Below are 23,782 nucleotides of genomic sequence, written 5' to 3'. Positions count from 1 at the left end.
TCTAACACAAAAAAATAGCAAAAATATTGAGCATTTTGCCAATGAAGATATACAAATTACCAATAAACACTTGAAAAGATGCTCAGCATCACTGGGGAAATGCCAAGTAAAACCACAATGATACACCACAACACAGCGATGAGAATAGCTAAAACAAATAAACAAAATAAACAGAGAATGCCAAGGGCTGATAAGGATGTGGAGCAGCCAGATCTCTCATACATCGCCAGGCAAAATGCAGAGCGGTGCAGCCATTCTGGAAAACAATGTGGCAGGATCTTTTAAAGTTAAACCTAAACTTACTATAAGACCCATACATTCCACTTCTAGATATTTGCCTAATAGGAATGAAAACATATGTTCATGCAAAGATGTGTACATGAATGTTCATAGTGGTTTTATTCAGATCCACCTGGGAGCAACCCAAATGTCCATTAATGTGAATGGAAAAACAGACTGTAGAATGTGCATGCAGTGAAATACCACTTGTCAATAAAAAGGAACAAAATAGCAATGCATGGAACAACACAGAAGAATCAAAAAGCATTATGTTAAAGAAGTCAAAAGATCATGTATTATGTGAGTGCACTTATGTGCGATTCTAGAAAAGGCAAAGCTATAAGGACAGAAGGCAGATCAGTGGCTGCCTGAGGACAGAAGCAACTGCACAGGGACACAAGGAAGTGGTTAGGATGAGCGGATTGTTCTCGTCTGGATTGCGTTGGTGGGTGGGTTGCTGAATCCTATTCCTAGAAGTTGCATTTATCCTGCGAGGGCCCAGAAAGAGGAGAGCATCTTGCCACTATGGGGCCCGGAGAAAGAAAAAATAGAGAATGGATGATTGGTATCATTTTCTATGTTTTCCTCTTTGCCCACAGCAGATTTCTAACAGGGCTGTTTTCTTTTTTAAATGCTGAAATGATTTAAACCATACAGGTGGTGGGGAAGAGCTACATCAGGTTGTTGTAAACTGCTCGAGCTAGCCTAGAGCCTTCTCTGAAGCCCCTTCCACCTACAGCTTCTCTGCCTCAAATCCGATTTCCTGTTCCTGGTGTCCAGGGCAGCATGGTGGCCCTTCCACTCCCAGGCCGCTTTCAGATTCCCTCCAGCTCTCTTCTTTTTCCTCTCTCTCTCTCCCTCTCCAAGCTGAATTGCTACATTTTAAAGTTAATCTATGACAAGATGAGCTGAATGTGACTTAGGATGTGGAAAAATGAAAATCCTGGAACAGTTGAAGGGAGCAGGGGGAGTCCCTGGGCTTCCCTCTGCAGCCTGTGCATGGGGACCCAAGCCATCAGGGTCTGCGCATCTGTGTCCACAGTGGCCTGAGATCAGTAATGTTTGGGTTTCTTGCTCCTCTCTTGGCACTCATGTGTCTACTGCAGCCTTTTAGAGAAATAGGGTGAGTAATTCATCCCAGCGCCTTCTCTGTGCCAGACACTGCTCCAGGTGCTGGGCACTCTAAGACCACTGAAGGAAGTCTCCCCTTTCTGGGCATTCACCGTCTGGTTGGAGGAGGGAGACCAGCCAGTGGTGACTGCAACATGGAAAACACAGAAGGAAGATTTAGAGAAGCCACTCTGGGAACATAAAGGACAAAAGCTCTTTCTGCATGCTGATTTTTTTTTTTTAATAGGAAATTGCTTTCTATCTACTTCCTATTACAGATGTCTTTTAAAAAATCAGCCTCATGGGGCACCAAATAATTAGCCTGCAGGAGATGTTCTCATGCCCAGGGCCAGCCTGGGCCAGGCTTTCTTTGAAGGTAGGCACCTTCCTCTGTGCTGTAGCTCAGCCGAGGGAAAATCAAGGGGCAAATCCAAGTGGGGCTGGATCCACGAGGAGCGGCTGGGGAGAGGGGAATGAAGTAAGTGGGAGGTGGGGAGGCAGGGTCAGGAGGAGCTTTGAGCTTCAACTTGGTGGTTGATCACAGGGTCCCTGTGGCCACAGGAGGGGGCATGACCCCGGGCTTTCCTGGGATCACCTGGGGGTAGACCTCTGCAAGGGCAGTGTGCACCCAGCCTGTGCTGGGCATCTCCCATGTGCCAGGCAGCATGCCAAGGGCTTCCTCTGTGCCTTGCCCCAGAGTTCTCTCAACAGGTAGATCCAAGATTACTTTTTATTTTCCAAGATATATGACACAGGATTACTCTTCTTAATATAGATAAAGGACTCTTTGCGTCCACAGAAAAAAATATAGATTAGATGACAAAGAAACACATCTAATGAACATATGGAAGTATGCTCAGTTTCCTTAAATAGGTACAAAAGCTCAAATTAGATATCTTTTTTTTTTTACCTTTCAAAATTTTTTTAAAGAAAGTTCTGGCTTGGTGAAGTTTTGGCAAAATGAGAAGGCTCATACATGGCTGGTGGATGTATAAATTAATATAAGCATGGCAGGATGGCAGGATTACAGGCTACCTTCATTTTTTTTTCTCTAAGTTTTTCTACAATGAACTTGGTATTATTATCACAGAAAAAGATTATTTTAAAAATCTATGTTCTTGCCCAAAAATGAATCTAATCAAGACTTGAGCCCTAACTTCCACTTTGCATAAGAGAGAAACAAGTTAAATAACACCATGAGGACACAATCTGACAAAATCCAGAAGGTGGAATATTCAATAAAGAAATTGATCATCTTCTCCAAAAGTCAACATCATAAGGGACAAAAAGGTTGAGGAACTATTTTAGACTAACACAGACTAAAGGTGCACAGGGACTGAACACAATGCCCAAACCTTGATGGGGTCCTGACTCAGAACCAAGTCTCAAAGACATTGTAGGGACAGATGAGGAAAGTTGAAGGTTGATTTGTGTCTTGGTTTTCTCTTGGCCACACTACAGATGTGCTGCTCGGTTCACAACTACCTGATCGGCAGAAGTTTCACCCCCAGAATCACCGTCTATATTAGATATACCCAGAGAAGCCATCACAATATGTTGCTAAACCTAGGAGGGATTATGCGCAACTTCAAAATAGCAAAATTTCCTTCTCCGTTTTACATAAAATACCTATCAGAAAACTCTCTAAAATCGGTCTAGGTCTACTAAACTTTCAGTAGGTACCCTATGATTAAATATTAATTTCTTGGCTTATTGGACGAGTAATTATTCCTGTGACTCCCATGTGGTAGAGCAACATGAGGCACAGAGGGTGGGTGGAGGAAGACAAAGGAGACTGCCTGGCACTGTGCCCCCATCTCCCCACAGGAACCCGACATCATCCAAGTCAATCCTGAGCCCCAGGGAGGTTGGGGGTTTCTATGTCTAATTAACAAAAGAAACTCTTGGTTGAGGGCCCAGAATTTCTATACAAGTAGCCAATTTTAGCTCACAAAATTTTGCTATTTGGTTCAAAAACCTCTGTTTGAGGGTGGAGGGACAAAAATATCTAACTTCTAATAATTGTCCCTAAGGTTTAGACAATGGCCTATAATTTACAGAATTATTACACAGACACATCACATTGAAGAGACTCCAAATGTAAGTGGGCAACTGTTCCTTTCAGGCTCAGACTGCTTCCTGGCTGGAGAGAATTTTCCCTGGTCTGCACTGTCCTCTCTGGTGCAGGATGCCAAAGAGTGGGGAGCCCATGAACCTGTGTGGTAGGTAAAGTAGGAACTGTTATCCCCATTTTACAGACTATATAAAGCAAAATTATGTTTATAGGTAATATATAAAATATATATGCATTGATATATTTTACATATACTGTGTATAACATATAAAATATAGGAGATGGAGGCCAGGTGCGGTGGCTCACGCCTGTAATGCCATTACTTTGGGAGGCCAAGGCGGGTGGATCACAAGGTCAAGAGATTGAGACCATCCTGGCTAACACGGTGAAACCCCATCTCTACTAAAAATACAAAAAATTAGCCGGGCATGGTGGCGGGTGCCTGTAGTCCCAGCTACTAGAGAGGCTGAGGCAGGAGAATGGCATGAACCTGGGAGGCGGAGCTTGCAGTGAGCGGAGATCGCGCCACTGCACTCCAGCCTGGGCGACAGAGCGAGACTCTGTCTCAAAAATATATATATGTGTGTGTGTGTGTGTGTGTGTGTGTGTGTGTGTGTGTGTGTATTATATGAGATGGACACTCAGAGAGGCTTCAACTGCCAACTCCCCACAAAATGCCACCTAAATAACCTGTGGAGCCGGCAGAGCTCAGCTGATTGCTTTCTTCAAGAGAGGCCACTGCCTCAGAACAGGCAGCTCAAGGGTGCCATATCTATGTGATTTGGGGGATATGGTTTAAGATGAGTCTTCATTGAGGTGCAGCTGACTGGCTGGGATTAGATGAAGTTCTTCACTCCCATCCTCCCAGTATAGAGTGCAGTGGTGTGATCATGGCTCACTGCAGCCTCCACCTTCCAGATTCAAGTGATTCTCCCACCTCAGCCTGGGACTTTAGGTGTGCACCACCATGCTTGGCTAATTTTTGTATTTTTTATAAAGATGGTGTCTCATCATTTTGCCCAGGCTGGTCTCAAACGCCTGGACTCAGGCAATCTATTCGCCTCAGCCTCCCAAAGTGCTGGGATTACAGGCATGAGCCACCACGCCCGGCCTGAAGTTACTGATATAAACTTTGAGGATTGGGAGACACAGAGTGGGGAAAGTTTGAATGAACCTTAAGAGTAAACGGTTGCTTGATAAGCCCAAATGAACAATGCATTGTTTGAGAAAGGGTCTTCTTACCCAAATGAAGTCTAGTTGAGTGATAAGTAAAAGTGCAGATAAATGGATTTTCAGAAAGTTAATAAAACAAATAATAAAGTTATTTATAACTTTTTCTTACTGGGCAGGAATTTCTTGCAGAGAATGGGGGGATAATTTTAATGTAGACAGTCTTATACTTAATCCCATTAAACGTGGGGCTGCAGGTGGCTTCCTTCTCAGCAGTAGGGCACAAGGTCCCTCCATGAGAAGCTGGGTGCGCTGGAACTTGACCTCAGTCTCCTGGATCCAGGCTCCTGCCCCTTCCCTCACACCACAATGCCAGTCTTCAACAGTGGTGCTGAGCTCACCCTGCTCAGGCTGCTACAAGACCCCTCTGATAGAGTTCAATCAGACTCTGCACTAGATGCCAACTCATGACCATGGTGGCTCCTCAATGGGTACTGGGGTAAAAACACAGGGCAGGGTCTCAGGAGAGGGCGCTATGGCCTTGGAGTGAGCGAGACCCAAGAATAATGTACCTGTCTGAAGAGTGTCCCCCCAAAATTCAGGTCTAATTGGATCTTATTTGGAGATAGGGTCTTTGTAGATAAAATTAGTTAGGATGAGGTCATACTGGATTAGGGTGGGCCCTAAATCCAATGACTAATGTCCTCCCAAGAAGGTCACATAAAGACACAGGAAAGAAGGCTCTGTGACATCATGACAGTGGCAGAGATTGGCTACAAACCAAGGAACACCCAACGATTTGGGGGCAACCACTAGAAGCCAGGAAGAGGCATGGAAGGATTCTCCCCTAGAGCCTTCAGAGGGAGCATGAGACACCTTGATTCAGACTTCTGGCCTCCAGAACCGCAAGAGAATACATGTCTGTGGTTTTAAGCCCCCAGCTGGTGGCACTTTGTTATAGTAACCATGGGAAACAAATGCGGATGCTGCCTGAGCAGATCTGCCAAGTGCAGCACACACCTGGGCTTGTTTCCCCTGAGCGGGAGCCCACAGCACCCTGGGTAGGATGGGCAGCCTCCCTAGGACTGCGGAGGGGCAGGGGCAACCTCACACAGACAGGGTGGGGTGTCCGGATCACAGCCTTTTCTGGCAGTCTGTCCACTCTGCCAACATTCAAGAAAGGACTCTTTAAAAAAAAATGTCTCCCAACAAAATCAATTCTGGAAAAGCTTCAAAACACAACACAGCTCCCCACTGTGCCTCTTAATTTTCCCCTCCAGAGGAGACAGTCTCGTACCTCATCAGTGCCTCAAAGGAAACAGAACAATCCAGTGCTGTGCTAGGGACAGCGCTCGTGGGCAGGCAGAGCTCACTGTCCTGCCTCCTGGCGGGTGGGCACAGTCACAGTCACAGGGCTTCTGTGAGGACAGGAGTCCTCAGAAACCTGGGACACTTCAGGTTCCCCAACAGGAGCTCTGCCGTTTTAGAGGCCTGCACTGAGCTCTGAGCTAACCCACCCACTTGTTACTGGGATCCAGAAGATTTCTCAGCCCAAAAGTGGCTTGATTGTTTTCTCTATGAGAAACAGGCTTTAATAATAATTAATTTGGCAAACTATAATCGGGGGTTCATGTGAGGATGCTGCAGTGACTCTTGTCGGAAATCAAGAGATGAAGGACACGAGGTCCCACCCCCAGGGCACCATCTATAAGAAATATTAATTAGACTTTGAATGCTTATATTTCCAAAGTGAATCCTTGCACATCCTCTCATCAACCCTCCCCATCGTGCTGATGAGAAGCCTGAGGCTCAAAGAGGCTGAGAGATTTGCCCTGTCTTAGCGTTCATGGGGACTCTCACCCACAGTGCGGGGAGCTGGAACCAGAGTTCCTTCCTCTGGGGACACGATATGTACACATGTTAGCAGGAAGTTAAGGAGGAATGGCAGGTGGCAGGAGGCAGTCCAAGCCCGCGGCCAGAGTTCCAAATTGATTCTTGGGTGAGAGAGAGAAGAGCCTATTGAAAATCCCCATAGCAACAAGACAGAAATCTGGGGGCACCCAGCCCCTGAAGTTTGGGGTGGTGTGGGCAGGGGTGGGAGAATGTAGAGCCTCAAATGTGGTCTTCTGACACAATCTCCAAAGACAGAACAGTGAAGGATTGAAAAGATGAACCACTCATCATTTAGAGTGGGGGTCTCAGTCTGTTATTACAGGCAACCTGGCGGGTGGGGAACTTTAATATCATGAGGCCAGGTCCCAGCCCCAGAGATTCTGACTTCACCATTCAGGGGTGGCCTGGGCATCGGGATTATCAGAACTCCCCGGGGACTTAGAGATCTCTCCGTGTTCATAATCCTATGTTGGTGTTTTTTTCTCCTCCTCCTTGTTTTCTAAAAATTTCACAAGGATCCCCAGAAGGTGTGAGCAGGGCAGGGGATTAACAGACCACACAGAGGCCTGCCTGGGTCTAGGTGAGGAGAGCAGGCCTAGAGGATACTGTGTATGTGTGTTTTTAAAATTAGGAACGGTTTACATGGAGTAAAATTGACCCTTTGAAGTTTACAGTTTTGTGAGTTTTGATTGATGCGTATAATCCTGCAACAATCCCACAATCAAGACATAGAACAGTTTCATCACCCAAGGGACGTTCCTGAATGGAGTTGCAGTGACGATTTAGGCTCCAAACCCGAATCCCCTAAATTCTCTGCCCAATCAAAGAAGTGTATCTGCAGTTCCTTCTCCTATTTCCGGGCCAGGCAACTTTCCTGATAGTTGGAAGCAATGATTTATCCAACAACCCATCTCAGCCTCGTTAGAGCCTGTGTTGAAAAAGCCAGGTTGCTAATGTCACTTTTCTTCCTTCTCCCGAGACCAATTTTCTGGACCTGAATAGCACCCACAGCCAACACCTTTTAAGATCACTAAAGCGACTTCCATGGGAGAAAAAAAAAATCACCCATTTCTCAAAGCAATCACAAGCGCTTTCCTCATGCAGCTGTTCCCAGCTCCTGAGAAATCATTTAATTGGTTTGGAGGTCACAGGATCCTCTTCCATGGTTTGGAGGTCACAGGATCCTCTTCCAATTAGGGTCTCATGCCAGCTGCCATCTGCACTGGGGACAATCGGACTGGGCTTTGTAAGACAAACAAGTCCATCTGAGAGGCAGCCACAGTCCTTCAGCAACCAGCTGGCTCCTTCCACAAGGCAGCCTGTCTGTAGCCTAGAGCTCATCGTTGCCTCCAGGTCTGTTATGTGGGACCAGAATGAAATAAACAGAACAAATATTTTCAACTCAGCCTCTTTCCCTTTTCCAGAGCAGCCCCCATGAGGATAGATGGGGTTGGCAGGGTAGTGGGGCCATTCCGGATCTTATCTTTCAGCCGTAGTGGAAGGAGAGCTTCCTGCCATGGCTCGTTGGCATGTCGACTCTATTGCCCCCTTCCCTACGATGCTCATACCGTATTAAATCTGCCTCTGTTTCAATGCCAGGGAGGGGACCCACTGAGGAGCTAAGTGTCAGGAACATGGTGAACAGGGGGTGGTGTGTACATGGGAGTATTTAACAAAATGTTCCCAAGTTGGGAGGACTTGCAAGAAAATGGAGGGAGGGAGGACGACTTAGGCCAAATGGTGGAGTCAACAAAGCCCCAGCTCCTGTGATTCCTCCTCCACAAATCCCTCCTGGAATCATGCCTCTAAATGTCTAAAGGGACATCTACTGTGCTCCCAGGGCCCTGAGGATCAGCTCCCCGCTGAGCCTTGGAGTGACTCCAGTTCAGGAGTCACACCCTCCCAGACAGACCAGGGCTGTAGGCCTTCAGGTAAAGCTGCGTGGCTAAACCTATATTGAGGAAGATTTATCTGGACCCCTACCCTAACTCCAACACATTAATACTTGTTTTTCCTGGGGCTGGGGGAGGGAAGCCCCCTGCTGCCCTGACCTAAGCCCACCCTGGAACTGTGGCAGAAATGGTAGCTCCACAGACCACCCTTCCTTGTGGATGAAACTTGTACATGCCCTCATTAGGCCCAGAACTGCCTAATTAACTCTTGAGTTAGAGAATCCTTGAGTCAAAAGCAAATCATAAAGGGGAAAGCCTGGGCCAGAGCCTTTATTTATTAGGGTTTCTGTGGGAAAGATAAGGTGGGATAGGGTAAGCAGTTTAGGAGTAAATGATTCTGGATGGCTTTGGGGCCATAGAGGTTGTTCCTAGTTGTCTGACACTCACTGGGCCCTGGGTTGATGTAGGGCGGGGGGCGGGGTGGAGGGAGTAAATCCAGGGCTCAGGCTTGGTTAGTTTTCATATGAAAGGCATCCTCAAGGGAGCCCTTTGCTATCTCTAATAATTGGCTAGCCCTGGGAGGAGCAGTCTCTCTCAGCAAGGTCAGAAATGCTAGAGCATCAAGAATACAGAAAATAAGAAAAGAGAGGAATTGGCCCAGTGATGAAAGGATGTCAAACAGATAAATTCAGAGTCTAAGAAAACACAGTTAAAACAGAGGTCCCATTCCCCTCTCTCTGCCTTCCCAGCCACCTGTCCCACTGTTACAGTAGGTAGCTAATCAGACATGAGCAGGACAGAAGAGCCCCACCACCAACAACCAGGAGTGTCAGGTGACCATCAGGTGATAGGCAGTTTGTTAACTGTCTTTCTTTTTTTCTTTATTTTTTTTTTTAGATGGAGTTTTGCTCTTGTTGCCTAGGCTGGAGTATAATGGTGCAATCTCGGCTGACTGCAACCTCTGCTTCCCGGGTTCAAGTGATTCTCCCACATCAGCCTCCCAAGTAGCTGGGATTACAGGCACCCACCACCAAACCCAGCTAATTTTTTTTTTTTTTTTTTTTAGTAAAGAACATCCACCTGCCTTGGCCTCCCAAATTATTGCTGGGATTACAGGTGTGAACCACGGCCGCTGGCCTTAACTGTCTTTCTAAAATAATAATTGATTGCAGCCAGCACCAGGGAAAGGCAGTCTCCCAATAAACAGAAACACCTGAAACTGGTGATCAGCTGCTTCCTGGTAAGATTTCAGGAGTTAGGTGAGTGCACTCATGCACGTACACTAAAAGGCAAAATGGCAGAATTTAACTGGTATATGACCTTCTCTAGGAATGCTAGAGATTGGTAAGGGAAGAATGTCTCTAGTGAGCATGCGTATAACTCCAGTAAACACACTGTATTTGTGGCTGGCCCCTCGCAAGGGCTAACAGGCCATTGTGCATGCAGACAGCCCACCCCAGGGGAAGAATCAGGGGCAGAAGGCACGCAAGGCCCTGGAAGCATGCCAACGTATAAAACCCCAAGTCAGAGGTCAAACAGAGCACTTGATCTCTCAAGCTGCCCACTTGGCCCTCTTCCAATTATACTTCTTTTCATTCCTGCTCTAAATCTTTTTAATAAACTTTCCCTCCTGGTCTAAAACTTGCCTCGGTCTCTCCTTCTATCTTGGGCCCCTCAGTCGAATTCTTTCTTCTGAGGAGGCAAGAATCGAGGTTGCTGCAGACCAGTACAGATTCGTCACGAGTAACATACGTTGGTGCTTCGTGACTCTAATACGTTCCCTAGTGCTAACAACACCTGGGCCCTGATGGTCAGGAAACTCATCCTCCTCTGGCTCTCCTGTCAGCCCCGCAGAGCCCTTATGACCATGTTGAAACTCATTGTTTTTCAAACCCCAAACTTGTCAAGATCGTAGATTCTTTCCCTTCTGAGATAGAGTGTAAGAGAGAAGTTCTTAACTCCTTCCCCCTATGCCCTGCCAGGGTTCCTTAGCTCCAAATGGCTCAAGCTCTTCAGAAAGGGCATGGCAAAGAAGCCATAGGATGGTGCAGTCAGCAAAGAGACTGCTGGGCATTCTTTTTTTTTTTTTTTTTTGATACAGAGTCTCGCTCTGTCACCCAGGCTGGAGTGCAGTGGCGCAATCTTGGTTCACTGCAACCTCTACCTCCTGGGTTCAAGCAATTCTCCTGCCTCAGCCTCCTGAGTAGCTGGGATTACAGGCATGCACCACCATGCCTGGCTAATATTTTAGTAGAGACAGGGTTTTACCATGTTGGTAAGGCTGGTCTCAAGCTCCTGACCTCTTGATCTGCCTGCCTCAGCCTCCCCTGCTAGGCACTCTGAACCAGCCAGAGGCCTCTGTCTACCTGTGGAATCACTTCATTCTAGCCGGTGTGTCTGGCTCATGTTTCTTAATGCACACCCCTTGGCCACAGTGCACTGGAGCCAGCTTGTGCCAGCTCAGGAGAGCCCATCATGTGCATTTCTTCCTGGCTCTATTCAGAAGCGTCATGCTGACAGTTTGAAATGGGCCATGGTGGGAGTATTTACACCACAGTAATCAGCAAACTAAGACCCAGAGCTACCTCTCTCTCCAGAGCTGGTTGTTAAATAGACACTAGCCCTCCCCTGCCTGAGGCCAGGTTTCTCATAGAAACAAGTCAGTACCACACCTCCTCTCCAAAAAACCAGATCAACAGGGCTCTTCTCTCCTCAAATGCTCCATGGTACAGAAACTCTATCCTTTCCTTGGATTCATTTACTCCATAGTCAAACCTCAGGCTTCTTTTTTCCTTTTTCTTTTTTTTTTTTTGAAATGGAGTCTCACTCTGTCGCCTAGGCTGGAGTGCAGTGGCGTGATCTCAGCTCACTGCAAGCTCTGCCTCCCGAGTAGCTGGTACTACAGGAGCCCACAACCATGCCCAGCTAATTTTTTTTTTTTTGTATTTTTAGTACAGATGGGGTTTCACTGTGTTAGCCAGGATGGTCTCGATCTCTTGACCTCATGATCTGCCTGCCTCGGCCTCCCAAAGTGCTGGCATTACAGGTGTGAGCCACCGCGCCTGGCCCTGGCTTCTTTTTTTCCTAGCTGGATGCCCTTGGGTAAGTCCCGGGGCCTCTCTGTCCCTCTGTTTCCTTGTCCATGAAACAGAGACAATACTATCTATCATATAGGCAGGCAGCATCTAACTGAGCTTTTTAGAATGGGCCTATGCAATTGTAATCAGTGATCTGTGGACAAAGTGTTGACTCGATGTGTCTCTTACTATGCAGGGAAAACAAAACCTTCGTCTTCCCCAATACCAGCTCCCTAGGCAGGGCTCCATCTGGCCATTGGATCTGACTCTGGCAGTGGCATACCAAGGGAAGGGCAGTGGCAGGGGAGTCTGCCTTGGGAATAGGTAATAACGGGTGCATTGTCTGTAGAGAATTAGAAAGGGAAATAAGACTAAGAGTTGGTCTGCTTTTAAAAACTCACACGCATCAATGATTCTGATATTTGTTAGTTATAAAATATTCCTCCCTTCTGGGGTGGGAAGAGAGTGAGAGAAACTGTTCCTTTTGCCCCTCCCTCTGTCAGGGTTCTGTTGGCAGCTGCCCATTCTGGGCATTCAACAGTTAAGGAGAGAGTCAATTACAGAGAGACTTTGGACATTCACCGCCACAGTTCTTAGGTCTCTCACTGTTCCCACAAACACCCTGCTGTCTTGGGTTCTGGGAATGCAGCATTTTTCTGCGCTGAAGTCTGTGGTAGAGTTCGCAAATGGCTGCCATATTTGCAGATGGTCCTAGCAAGATGTGGAGGCTGTTTCTCTACATCTTCAATCTGCTCTGGCCCATGACTTGCTTTGGTCAACAGAATATAGCAGAAGTGATGATGTGCGAGTTCCAAGCCTGGGCCTCAAGAAGCCTTGTATGCTCCGCTCTTACCTTTGGAACTCTGTCACCACCAAGTGCAGAAGCCCAGGCTAGTACACTGCTGGAGTATCATGGAGCCATCTTCCCAACCACCCAGCCAACACTAGGAGAATGAATGAGGCTGTTGTAGGTTAGCCACTGAGCCATCTTCCCAACCACCCAGCCGACAACCAGCCAACACTAGGAGAATGAATGAGGCTGTTGTAGGTTAGCCACTCCCCAGCAGACCTGCCTGCTAACTGCAGACACTTGAGCAAGTCAGGCTGAGATCAGCCATACAAGGTCCAGATTTGTAGAACCTCCCGGCTGACCCATGGACTCAAGAACAACAATAAATATTGGGTATTTTAAGCTACTAATTTTGGGGATAATTTTGTTTTTGAGATGGAGTCCCATTCTGTCGCCCAAGCTGGAGTGCAGTGGTGCCATCTTGGCTTGCTGCAACCTCCGCCACCTGGATTCAAGAGATTCTCCTGCCTCAGCCTCCCAAGTAGCTGGCATTACAGGAGTGAGCCACATGCCTGGCTAATTTTTGTATTTTTAGTAGAGACAGGGTTTCACCATGTTGGCCAGGTTGGTCTCAAACTCCTGACCTCAGGTGATCCACCCACCTCTGCCTCCCAAAGTGCTGGGATTACAGGCGTGAGCCACCACACCCAGCCGGGGATAATTCTTTATGCAGTAAAAGTTAACAGTGTCTTTTTGCTTGCTGGTTACCTCTGGCCCTGTCCTCATGTCTGCAGGATGAAATTTCATCTCCCCCAAGACCTAGACTGAAAGCCACTTCCTTCAACCAGTCTTCTCAGAGTTCCCAGGCTGGAATTCCTATCTTCTTCCTGCGGCATTTGGTTTTTCCATTTCTGTGTTTCTTGCAATTTGCTTTGCCTTGGATATATATGTACATAAGCCTTCAGTGAAGAGGGGTATCAGTTCTTGATCATCATTGTAACCTCTGAAGTACCTAAAATACAGTAACCCTGAGGTTCTCAAAATTTAATGAACAGAAAAATAACTTGGGGAGCTATCTAGTCATGCAGAATCCCAGCCCAGTGCCAGAAATTCTGATTCATTAATTCTGGGTTGGGCCCAGAAAACTGAATGCTTAACAAGTACTTCAGGAGATATAGATGCAGGTGGTGTGTGAACTACACTTAGACCAGCACTGCAGCATGGATATGTCCATGGAATAAAACAAGAGGACTCTGAGACCCAGGAAGTCAAGTAACTTGTCCAAGATCACACCTGGAGAGTGAGAAAGCTGGGTTTAGATCCAGCTCCAGACAGCTGGCACATACTCAGTGTGAGTTCTCTGCAAAGGAGAACATATCATGTGGGTCACTTGTACAGCTCTGAACTCTAAAGGTATACTAGCAGCCATTATGGGTTTTCTTTCTGTAAAGAAGACAAACAATTTTGGGAAAACATGTGTGTGCATGCACACACACCTTTTGACAGCTGTTTCTCGGAGAGTCTGCCAGCAGACGGCCCTCCTACCATTCATCATAGTTCTCTGCTACACTGGGAAGGTGCTGGGTTGATTGCTAGGCGTTGCCAGCACTACTTCGGATAAAGAATCAGCCTCCCGCCTGAACACTGACAAATACAGAGAACTCAACGCCCGAGTCTGTCTTCCCTTCAAGTCCCCAGTGTCAGGCCTCTGAGCCCAAGCTAAGCCATCATATCCCCTGTGACCTGCACGTACACATTCAGATGGCTGGTTCCTGCCTTAACTGATGACATTCCACCACAAAAGAAGTGAAAATGGCCTGTTCTTGCCTTAACTGATGACATTATCTTGTGAAATTCCTTCTCCTGGCTCATCCTGGCTCAAAAGCTCCCCTACTGAGCACCTTGTGACCCCCCACTCCCGCCTGCCAGAGAACCCCCCTTTTTCCTTTACCTACTCAAATCCTATAAAACGGCCCCACCCCTATCTCCCTTCGCTGACTCTCTTTTCAGACTCAGCCCGCCTGCACCCAGGTGAAATAAACAGCCTCGTTGCTCACACAAAGCCTGTTTGGTGGTCTCTTCACACGGACGCGCATGAAACCCAGCAAGGTAGCTTTGATGACGCCCAGATGGGGGCCATGTGTGTAAATAAATGAAGTCCACCCAAATGAGAACAAATAAAGGCTCTTTATTCAGAGCTTGCTGTAGCAAATAAGTCAGCAGCATCAGTTGCGTTTGGCAGAGACTCCCAGGCAGGCAGGGGAGTGGGAAAGCTTGTTAGTGAATAAAGGGAAGGCTCCAGATATGCCCCAATAGAAGGCTGCTGGTATGGAGGGTGCTGTAGGTGGGAGAACTTGAAGTGGGGCATCCTATGTGATTGCTTAGGGGAGCACATTTGGCTTTCCATGGTTGGTCTTAAGTTGGAAAGGGATACAAATTAGAGAAGCTGGCAGTTATTGATTACATTCCGGTTGTTTTGTGGCCAACTCTTACTAAGGTTGTGGTTTGGCTCCCTGAACTGGAGGTTGCAGACTGAGGGACAGAGCTCTATTTTAACATACAGCCTGGCCATTATCCATTCATATATTCATTCTCTCAAAGGGAATTTCCAATAAGTTTCTCCTTAGCTGTTCAGCCCCATCCTTACTTCCTATAGAAAAATCTGATATCACAGATTCAATGGTGTGTGAAATATGCCCCCAACCACATGCCACCCTCATATCCCAGCATCCAGAGGACACAGCTGAGTGAAGCTCGAGCAAAAGTGCCTCCTCTCTGGGGACTCTGGAATGGAGCTCTGCTCCCATTCATGTCCCAATCCATGGTCAGAGACATCTGTGGAGGAAAATCCACCTTCTGAGTCACTAAGAACTTGTATCACCTCCACCCACACCCACCCCATTTCCTCCAATACTGTTCTGACACAGGAACACTCAGTGGCCTGTAAGTTTCATTCTAAGGAGAGAAGTTTTGCATAAAGGGCCTCCTGACATCACGATTGGGGCATAAACAGATTTCCAGGGGACATTCTGCCCTCCCCCTTCTTTTCAGGGACAACCCTCCATGTTGTTCATGCCGAGGGCCTGGGAGTCATCTTCAAACTGCCTGCTCACCTCCCATGTGCGGTTCAGTCTTTTCCCAAGTCCTATCTATTCTATCTCCAAAATCTTTCCCCATTCCGTCTAATTCCCAGTTCTCTCCTCCCCACCACCCCCATCCTAACCCAAGCCACATCTCTTACCTGACTTTGCAAAAGCTCCCTGTAAGTCTCCTCTGTTAATTTAACTAAGCCAAAGCTCCCAAACTCGGCTGAAATAAGAATTACAAAGGGTTTATTTGTCTTATAAAGAAAGAAGGAAGGACGGTTAATGTTCTCAGCATAAGAAAGAAGCTTCACAGGTACTTATTGCTTTTAGAAAATGCGAATGTCACTGAAAATGTTATCTACCAGGGCGATCAATTAAAACTATAGCATTTTTAGGGTTTAAAAATTATAGTTATAGGGCAGAGCAACCATCTCCAAAATCTAGGCATCTTAGAAAAGACCTTTTCATAAAGAACATTTTCAAAGACAGCTTAGAATGGAATAGTGTCTGCTTTTCTGCAGCTGCAGGGAAGGAAGCAACATTTTTCTTTCTTATTGGGATGAGAGTTCTTTCACCAACAGAAGAGCCTGCAGTTTCAATATTAAGCACTAGAATTTGATTAGTAAACATCGAGAGGCAAAAGTTTGACTAAGTAACTCAACACTTGTGGCAAACAAATGACAGAAAGAGAACGGTGACAAATGGAATACAGTGCACGTGGTGAAATGTTGCCTCTGAACCCCATTTCCCCTCTTCACCCTCCAGGGGGATTCACTAAGTAGCCAGGGGGTCTGTGAATATGACCCTGTCCCTCTCTGCTTAAGTCACAGCACTTGCCTTTTGGCCCCATGGCTTGTTGGGTAAATTATCAGCCCCATGGGGATGACGATGTGCTGTACCTTCTGCCCCCTGCCTCTCCAGCTGTTTCCTGTCCATGTCCACCTCACTAACCAGCCCCACTGGTCTTCCCTCAGATCCCAGAAGTTCCATGTTCCTTCCTGCATTAAAGCCTCCACACTCCCTGTTCCCCCTGCCTGGAACGCTGTCCCTTCATGCCTGGTCCATCCCTGGTCACCTGTCAGGTTGCAGTGTAAATGGTTTCCTCTCAGGCCAGCCCCACCCTCTACTCCCCGCCCAAACCCAAATGATATCTTTCTGTTGTACCCTTTCATAACATCCTAAACTTTTCTAACACTTGTCACAATTTACAATATATATTTTTGCTTTTTTGTTTTATATCTGTCTCCCTTCCAAGTATAAATTCATGAAGGCAGGAGCACTATCTGATTTTTTTTCAACACTGTATCCTCATCCATAACACTTAATAAAAATAATAACTGTTAACATTTACCAAATGCTTATAATGCACCTGGCCCCATCCTGAATGCTTTAAGATTATCAACAACATTTCACAAATATTTATTGAGCAATGATTTTGTGCCAGGCGTGGTAGTAGGTGCTGGGATACATCATTGAACAGAACAGACAAAAGTCACCAGCCTCATAGAGCTGACATTAGTCGGGGAGACAGACACTAAACAAGATTAATAAGTTAATTATAGGGTATATTCAAGGTGATAGTGCCAAGGAGAAAGATAATGCAAGGAAGGGGATAGAATAATACGTATAATGAGATATATATTTTCCCTCTTTTCATGGATGAGAAAACTGAGATAGAAAGAAGTAAAAACTTGTCCAGAATTTGAGACCTTCGTTATTAAGTGTCAGATTCAAGATTTAAACCAAGTTCTGACACCACATGCCTAACATTCCACTTTCCTACTCACAAAATAGGAACTCTCTGCTTCGAGTTGGTGTTTGAATTTAAAAAATAATAAAATAAAAGCCAAAATAGGAACTCAGTAGGATTTGGTGGGGGAAGGAATGAAAGAATGAATCCAGGGGTTACTTGTGCTGTTCAGGTAACCTGAGTATTCACATTGGTTGGGATCTGTTGTGGTTTAGACAACTGCTTTTACAAGTTTGCCCATGAGTCCTAAGGTCCATAGAGACACTTTAGGGGTCACCACAGGAGAGTGGAATCCCTGCTCCTCTCCTGCCTCCAGCCAAAGCAACTCTCCTGTTATCTAACTAATATATTGGGGTTCCAGGTGACCTGTCTTTTGAAAGAAAGATTAAACACTTTGAAAACTGTTCTAGACAAAAGTACAACTGAGGGAACTAGCATAGTGAAAATCTCATTCAATGTGAGAGCAATGGTAGACGGAGCTAGTCCAACCCCTCATTCTACTGAGGCAGAAACTGAGGTCGAGAACAGCGACATGACTTACCCAGAGTCATACAGCCAGTGGCAGTCAGCACTAGGACTCCTGTCTCCATTCCAGCACCCTTGCTTCTGCATCACTGCTGTTGACAGACCATTAAGTACCAGGGAGGAGAGTAGGGCTGGCACTGACTCAACTGAGGCTTCTGTGAAGCCAGCTTGGACAGTGTGGCACTGGTGAATGATAATTGATCCCATTTCCTCTTCTTCCTGGGCAGGTGGCTAGGCTTCATTTCATTACATGTGATGTATTTTTTAAATTTATGTTTTTTTGGCATCCCTTGAGATCATGTGTGGCCTCGTGGCTGAGTTCTTGCCAGTAGATTGTGAATAAAGCAATAAGCATCACTTTCAGGCCGGAAAGAACTCTCCAAAATAATGGGTTGTGCTGACATCAGAGCCTAGCAGTAAAAAAAAAAAAAAAAAAAAAAAAAAAAAAGACAGTCAATGGCAAGAAACAGTAAAATACAGTGGTTAATGGTCAGGCTTTGAAGTTGAACAGAACTAAGTTTGAGTTCCTGCTTTACCATGTACAAAACTCAGTGACTTTGACAAGTCTTTTAACTTCTTTGAGCTTCAATTTCTTCATGAAGATACTAGCTAGTTCCATAGGAAAGGAATCCATGTGTACAGTATTGATGGAGACTTTTGGTTGCAGACAACAGAATCTGTTCTAGCTAAGGAGTTTATTAAGCAGAATAGAAAATGCGCCCAAATTGAATCCTGGCTGGTCTTCCAGGAACAACTGCCAAAGCTACACTGCAGACCTCGACCACCAAAAGAGCTACTCCTCTGCCTAACCAGGAAACTAAAGAATTAGGACGCTGCCACTACAGTTGCTGACTCCAGGACCATGCTGCCTCTTACCTAAGTTGTACCAGGAAAATGGATGCCTCCCACCCTGCTTCTCTATTTAAGTAACTTAGTTACAAACCAAAGTCTCGCACAAGATCACCAGATGCATTGAACCTAAATCACATTTGGAAATTAACAGTTAGGGGGTCTGGAAAATGCCACAGCATTTCAGTCTTTGCCATATGGTGTGGTACTTTAGAAAGATGTTAGAAAGGGTATTGAGTGAGCCAGTACATCTATGGAAAACTTAATGCAGTTTCTGGCACATAGATGCTACACAATATTTTAGGCCAGGAGTGGTGACTCGCGCTTGTAATCCCCGCAGTTTGGGAGGCCAAGGTGGGCAGATCACCTGAGGTCAGGAATTCGAGACCAGCCTGGCCAACATGGCAAAACCCTGTCTCTACTAAAACTACAAAAATTAGCCGAGTGTGGTGGCACGTGCCTGTAATCCCAGCGAGGCAGGAGAATTGCTTGAACCTGGGAGGGGCAGGTTGCAGTGAGCCGAGAGACTCACTTTTTTGAGACAGAGTCTCAAAAAAAGAAAAAAAAAAAGCTGCACGATGTTTTAACTAGAGTTAGCATAGCTTAGTATTAAGGACCTAAACTCTGAAGCCACATTCTCTGGGTTAAAATCCCTGCTCCACCACAATCAGCTGTGTTACCCTAGCAACCCACCTCCCTCTGTGGTCCAGCTTACACACCATACAATTAGGCCTGTTTCCCTTTATTTGTCATAAAATAGGTTAATTATAATTATATAAGCAAAGGTATAGGCTTGCTGTGGGAAATGGATGAGTTAATAAGTAAAGCACTCAAGAGAAATACCTGGTCATAGAATCTCAATTAACTTGATTAGCTTTTGCTGCTACCAGCTCACTGTTTGTCCTGTCTTCATGGATCCCAGGAGTAACTGCGTTTACTGGAGACCTCTGATACCATGTGGGTATGCAAACTCTGCAGACTCTGATGGTCAACTTTGTCTCTCATCTGGGAATTTCATTCCTTTCCCCAAATGCTATTAGACAAAGAGCTTGATGATGATAATCAGCAATAGCCAGGCCCTCCATCAATTGCTTTATTCATAGTATTGCATTATTGCTCACAACATCTTTTTGGAAATTGGTATTATCACCCCCAACTTACAGGTTAGGAAACTGAGGTTCGCGGGTGTTAGGTAAATTGCCAAGGGTCATATTGCTGGTTGGTTTCAGATTTGTGATCTTGGGTCCGGAATTGGCGGGTTCTTGGTCTCACTGACTTAAAGAATGAAGCCGCAGACCCTTGCAGTGGGTGTTACAGTTCTTAAAGGTGGCGTGTCCGGAGTCTGTTCCTTTTGCTGTTCGGATATGTTTGAAGTTTTTTCCTTCTGGTGGGTTCGTGGTCTCACTGGCTCAGGAGTGAAGCTGCAGACCTCCGCAGTGAGTGTTACAGCTCTTAAAGCAGCACGTGTGGAGTTGTTCGTTCCTCCTGGTGGGTTCCTGGTCTCCATGGCTTCAGGAGTGAAGCTGCAGACCTTCACGCTGAGTGTTACAGCTCATAAAGGCAGTGTGGACCCAAAGAGTGAGCAGTAGCAAGATTTACGGCAAAGAACAAAAGACCAAAGCCTCCACAATGTGGAAGGGAACCCCAGCAGGTTACCACTGCTGACTCAGGCAGCTTGCTTTTATTCTCTTATCTGGCCCCACCCACATCCTGCTGATTGGTCCATTTTACAGAGAGCTGATTGGGCTGTTTTACAGGGAGCTGATTGGTCCGTTTTGACAGGGTGCTGATTGGTGCGTTTACAATCCCTGAGCTAGACACAAAAGTTCTCCTCTTCCCCACTAGATTAGCTAGATACAGAGTGTCAATTGGTGTATTTACAAACCCTGAGCTAGACACAGAGTGTTGATTGGTGCATTTACAAACCTTGTGCTAGATAGAGTGCCGACTGATGCGTTCACAATCCCTTAGCTAGACATAAAGATTCTCCAAGTCCCCACCAGATTAGCTAGAGACAGAGTGCCAACTGGTGCATCCACAAACCCTGAGCTAGACACAGGGTGCTGATTGGTGTGTTTACAAATCTTGAGCTAGATACGGAATGCTGATTGGTGTATTTACAATCCCTTAGCTAGACATAAAGGTTCTCCAAGTCCCCACTAGACTCAGGAGCCCAGCTGGCTTCACCCAGTGGATCCCACACTGGGGCCACAGGTGGAGCTGCCTGCCAGTCCCGTGCTGTGCATCCGCACTCCTCAGCCCTTGAGCGGTCGATGGGACCACGTGCCGTGGAGTAGGGGGTGGTGCTCGTTGGGAGGCTCGGGCCGCGCAGGAGCCCAGGGTGGGGAGCCGGGGGTGGGGTGGGGGGGGGAGGTGCAGGCATGGTGGGCTGCAGGTCCCGAGTCCTGCCCCACGGGGAGGCCTCTAAGGCCTGGCGAGAAATCGAGCTCAGCACCGGTGGGCCGGTACTGCTGGGGGACCTGGCGCACCCTCCGCAGCTGCTGGCCCGGGTGCTAAGCCCTTCACTGCCCCGGGGCCAGTGGGGCAGGCCGGACGCTCCGAGTGCGGGACTGCCAAGCCCACGCCCACCCAGAACTCTAGCTGGCCGGGAAGTGCCAGTGCGCAGCCCCGGTTCCCGCCGGTGCCTGTCCCTCCACACCTCCCCGCAGGCTGAGGGAGCCAGCTCCGGCCTCGACCATCCCAGGAAGGGGCTCCCACAGTGCAGCGGTGGGCTGAAGGGCTCCTCAAGCGTGACCAGAGTGGGCGCCGAGGCCGAGGAGGCGCCAAGAGCGAGCGAGGGCTTCGAGGGCTGCCGGCACACTGTCACCTCTCAATCTGAGGCCAGCTCTCTGCTCATGTGTGTGTGTGCCACCATGCCTGGTTGTAATACACTAACCTACATTTTCTTTAATGCTTTCACTGGTTCAGGTGGGGAAGAGCTGTATTCTCCTTATGATTCAGTTCAGTGAATATTTACTCTGATCCCTGGAGTATAGCAATAAGTAAGAAAGGGTTCCCATCTTAGAGGAAACTTCAATCAGGGAGACGTTGGCATTTAGACAGTTAAAACATACACAAGCAACGAGAAGTGTGTAAACGGTACAGAATTAACACAAAAGAGCTGTCAGTTAACTAGGGCTCTAGACAAGGCTTCAGGGCAGAGATGAAGGCTGAGTGGGGTTACAAATGTCAAAGGTGGGGCAGAAAGCAGAGCAGGAGGGGAAGACACATCACAACAGAGCAGTATGTGAAAAGGCACTGAGGTATGAAAAGCAGCATGGGATGCCCAGGGAATGACAAGGAGGTCTATGATTTCGAAGTACAAGGTGTAATGTAAAGAAGAGCAGAAAATGAGATTGGCGAGAATCTTGGGGAATACTGAAAAGCCACATAAAGGCAATGGGGAGTTAGGAAAAAGAAAAGGGTTTTAAGCAGTTAAAAGACAAAGTATGGCTTGCATTTTAGACCAATTCCTGCTTCAAAGGCTGGCTAATGTGTAGATCCCAGTGCAAACGAAAATGTGGAGGCCCTTGTCCACATGGGAGACAAGTTCTGTTAAAGGTACTAATACATAGAGTTTTTTCTTTAAAAGTATTTAATTATTTCTAAAACATAAGTTTTGTTTTTCTGTTCTCCATTTTATTTATTTCTACTCTAGTTTTTATTTTCTTGTTTTTGCTTGCTTTGAGTTTTGTTTGCTCTTCTTTTTCTCATTTCCTAACATGGAAGATTAAGCTATTGATTTCAGATTGCTTTTTTAAATATAGGCATTTGTGACTGTAAATTTCCCTCTAAGCACTACTTTACCTGTATTCCGTAAGTTTTAGTGTTTTATATTTTTGTATTTTCTTTTTTTTTTTTGGTGGGGTCGGGGAGCAGAGTCTCATTCTGTCACCCAGGCTGGAGTGCAGCGGCACAATCTCAGCTCACTATAACCTCTGCCTCCCGGGTTCAAGTGATTCTCGTGCCTCAGCCTCCTGAGTAACTAGGATTGCAGGTGTGTGCCATCACGCCTGGATAATTTTTGTATTTTTAGTAGAGACAGGGTTTCACCATGTTGGCCATGCTGGTCAACTCCTGGCCTCAAGCTATCTGCCTATCTTGACTTCCCAAAGTGCTGGGATTACAGGTGTGAGCTGCCACACCCGCTGGTTTTATATTTTCTAATACAAAAAATATTTTCTAATTTCCCTTGTGATTTCTTCTTTGTTCTCTTGTTAGTTAGAAATAAATTTGTAAATTTTCCAAATGACCTCCTGTTATTGATCCTCTAATTTGATTCCATTGTAATTGGAGAATACACTTTGTATTATTTTATTTTTTGCATGTATTGAGATTTGTTTTATAGGTTAGCACATGATCTATCCTGGGGAATGTTCCATGTGTACTTGAGAACAATATATATTCTGGATGGATTGTTCCATAGATGTCTGTTAGATCTAGTTGTTTATAGTGTTGTTCAAACCTTATGTATCCTTGTTGATCTTCTGCCTAGTTGTTTTATCCATTATTGCAAGTGGGGTAATGAGGTTTTCAAATATTATTGAATGTTTTATTTCTCCCTTCAATTCTGTTTTGTTTTTTTTTCTTTTCATTTTTTTTTTTTTCTTTCTCGTGAGCAGGTCATGCTTTAACAACTTTGTTAGTTTTTCCCTCAAGTATTTTAGGACTCTGCTTTTAGGTGCATATATGTTAATAATTGTTATGTCTTCCTAATGGGCTGGCCCTTTTATCATGATAAAATGTTCCTGTTTAACTGTAGTAATATTTTTGTTTTAAAGTCTATTTTGTCTGATATTTCTATAGATATTTCATCTCTCTTGTGGCTGCTGTTTGTATGGCATATCTCTTTCCATTCTTTTACTTTCAATCTACAGTCATGAACTGTATGATAATGTCTGGTCAACAATGGACTGCATATATGATGGTGGTCTCATAAGATTATAATACAATATTTTTACTATGCCTTTTTCTATGTTTAGATATACAAATACTTACCATTGTATTACAGTTGCCTACAGTTTTCCATGTAGTTAACATGCTGAACAGGTTTAGCCTAGGAGCACTAGGCTATGCTGTATACCTAGGTATGTAGTAGGCTATACCATCTAGATTTGTGTGAGTATTCTTTATGAGGTTTGTACAACAACAAAATGGTCTAATGATGCATTTCTTAGAATGTATCCCTGTCATTAAGTGATGCATGACTGAATTTATATCTTTGAATCTAAGGTGTGTTTCCTGTAGAGAACATATAGGTGGATTTTAAAAAATGCAGTCTGACAAT

The 23,782-nt window shown here is 45.9% G+C and overlaps 1 long non-coding RNA gene across 2 annotated transcripts in view, besides 7 other annotated features; it reads right to left on the bottom strand.

Moving 5' to 3' along the window:
- Nucleotides 1-19,924, bottom strand: part of LOC105377061 (uncharacterized) — a 30,085-nt gene extending 10,161 nt beyond the window's left edge. For both annotated transcript variants that reach the window (XR_001740679.1, XR_001740678.1), the window contains exons 1-2: nt 19,339-19,924; nt 17,663-18,056 (exon numbers count right to left, since the gene is read on the bottom strand). This is a non-coding gene — a long non-coding RNA (uncharacterized LOC105377061). The remainder of the gene's footprint in view (nt 1-17,662; nt 18,057-19,338) is intronic.
- Nucleotides 5,315-5,815: an enhancer, noted in NCBI's record as "H3K4me1 hESC enhancer chr3:45363491-45363991 (GRCh37/hg19 assembly coordinates)". NCBI's record gives its function as "activates a minimal SCP1, AML or CMV promoter by ChIP-STARR-seq in naive H9 embryonic stem cells {active_cell/tissue: H9 hESC(naive)}" and the evidence as "EXISTENCE:reporter gene assay evidence [ECO:0000049][PMID:30033119]".
- Nucleotides 13,670-14,231: an enhancer, noted in NCBI's record as "NANOG-H3K27ac hESC enhancer chr3:45355075-45355636 (GRCh37/hg19 assembly coordinates)". NCBI's record gives its function as "activates a minimal SCP1, AML or CMV promoter by ChIP-STARR-seq in primed H9 embryonic stem cells {active_cell/tissue: H9 hESC(primed)}" and the evidence as "EXISTENCE:reporter gene assay evidence [ECO:0000049][PMID:30033119]".
- Nucleotides 14,232-14,795: an enhancer, noted in NCBI's record as "NANOG-H3K27ac-H3K4me1 hESC enhancer chr3:45354511-45355074 (GRCh37/hg19 assembly coordinates)". NCBI's record gives its function as "activates a minimal SCP1, AML or CMV promoter by ChIP-STARR-seq in primed H9 embryonic stem cells {active_cell/tissue: H9 hESC(primed)}" and the evidence as "EXISTENCE:reporter gene assay evidence [ECO:0000049][PMID:30033119]".
- Nucleotides 14,796-15,357: an enhancer, noted in NCBI's record as "NANOG-H3K27ac-H3K4me1 hESC enhancer chr3:45353949-45354510 (GRCh37/hg19 assembly coordinates)". NCBI's record gives its function as "activates a minimal SCP1, AML or CMV promoter by ChIP-STARR-seq in naive H9 embryonic stem cells {active_cell/tissue: H9 hESC(naive)}" and the evidence as "EXISTENCE:reporter gene assay evidence [ECO:0000049][PMID:30033119]".
- Nucleotides 15,358-15,921: an enhancer, noted in NCBI's record as "NANOG-H3K27ac-H3K4me1 hESC enhancer chr3:45353385-45353948 (GRCh37/hg19 assembly coordinates)". NCBI's record gives its function as "activates a minimal SCP1, AML or CMV promoter by ChIP-STARR-seq in primed H9 embryonic stem cells {active_cell/tissue: H9 hESC(primed)}" and the evidence as "EXISTENCE:reporter gene assay evidence [ECO:0000049][PMID:30033119]".
- Nucleotides 20,729-21,229: an enhancer, noted in NCBI's record as "H3K4me1 hESC enhancer chr3:45348077-45348577 (GRCh37/hg19 assembly coordinates)". NCBI's record gives its function as "activates a minimal SCP1, AML or CMV promoter by ChIP-STARR-seq in primed H9 embryonic stem cells {active_cell/tissue: H9 hESC(primed)}" and the evidence as "EXISTENCE:reporter gene assay evidence [ECO:0000049][PMID:30033119]".
- Nucleotides 21,230-21,730: an enhancer, noted in NCBI's record as "H3K4me1 hESC enhancer chr3:45347576-45348076 (GRCh37/hg19 assembly coordinates)". NCBI's record gives its function as "activates a minimal SCP1, AML or CMV promoter by ChIP-STARR-seq in primed H9 embryonic stem cells {active_cell/tissue: H9 hESC(primed)}" and the evidence as "EXISTENCE:reporter gene assay evidence [ECO:0000049][PMID:30033119]".

The sequence above is a fragment of the Homo sapiens genome, chromosome 3, assembly GCF_000001405.40.
Source record: "Homo sapiens chromosome 3, GRCh38.p14 Primary Assembly".
In the NCBI taxonomy this organism is placed as follows: domain Eukaryota; kingdom Metazoa; phylum Chordata; class Mammalia; order Primates; family Hominidae; genus Homo; species Homo sapiens.
The sequence above is the reverse complement of the archived record's forward strand: the minus strand, read 5'-3'. Positions and strand labels throughout refer to the sequence as shown.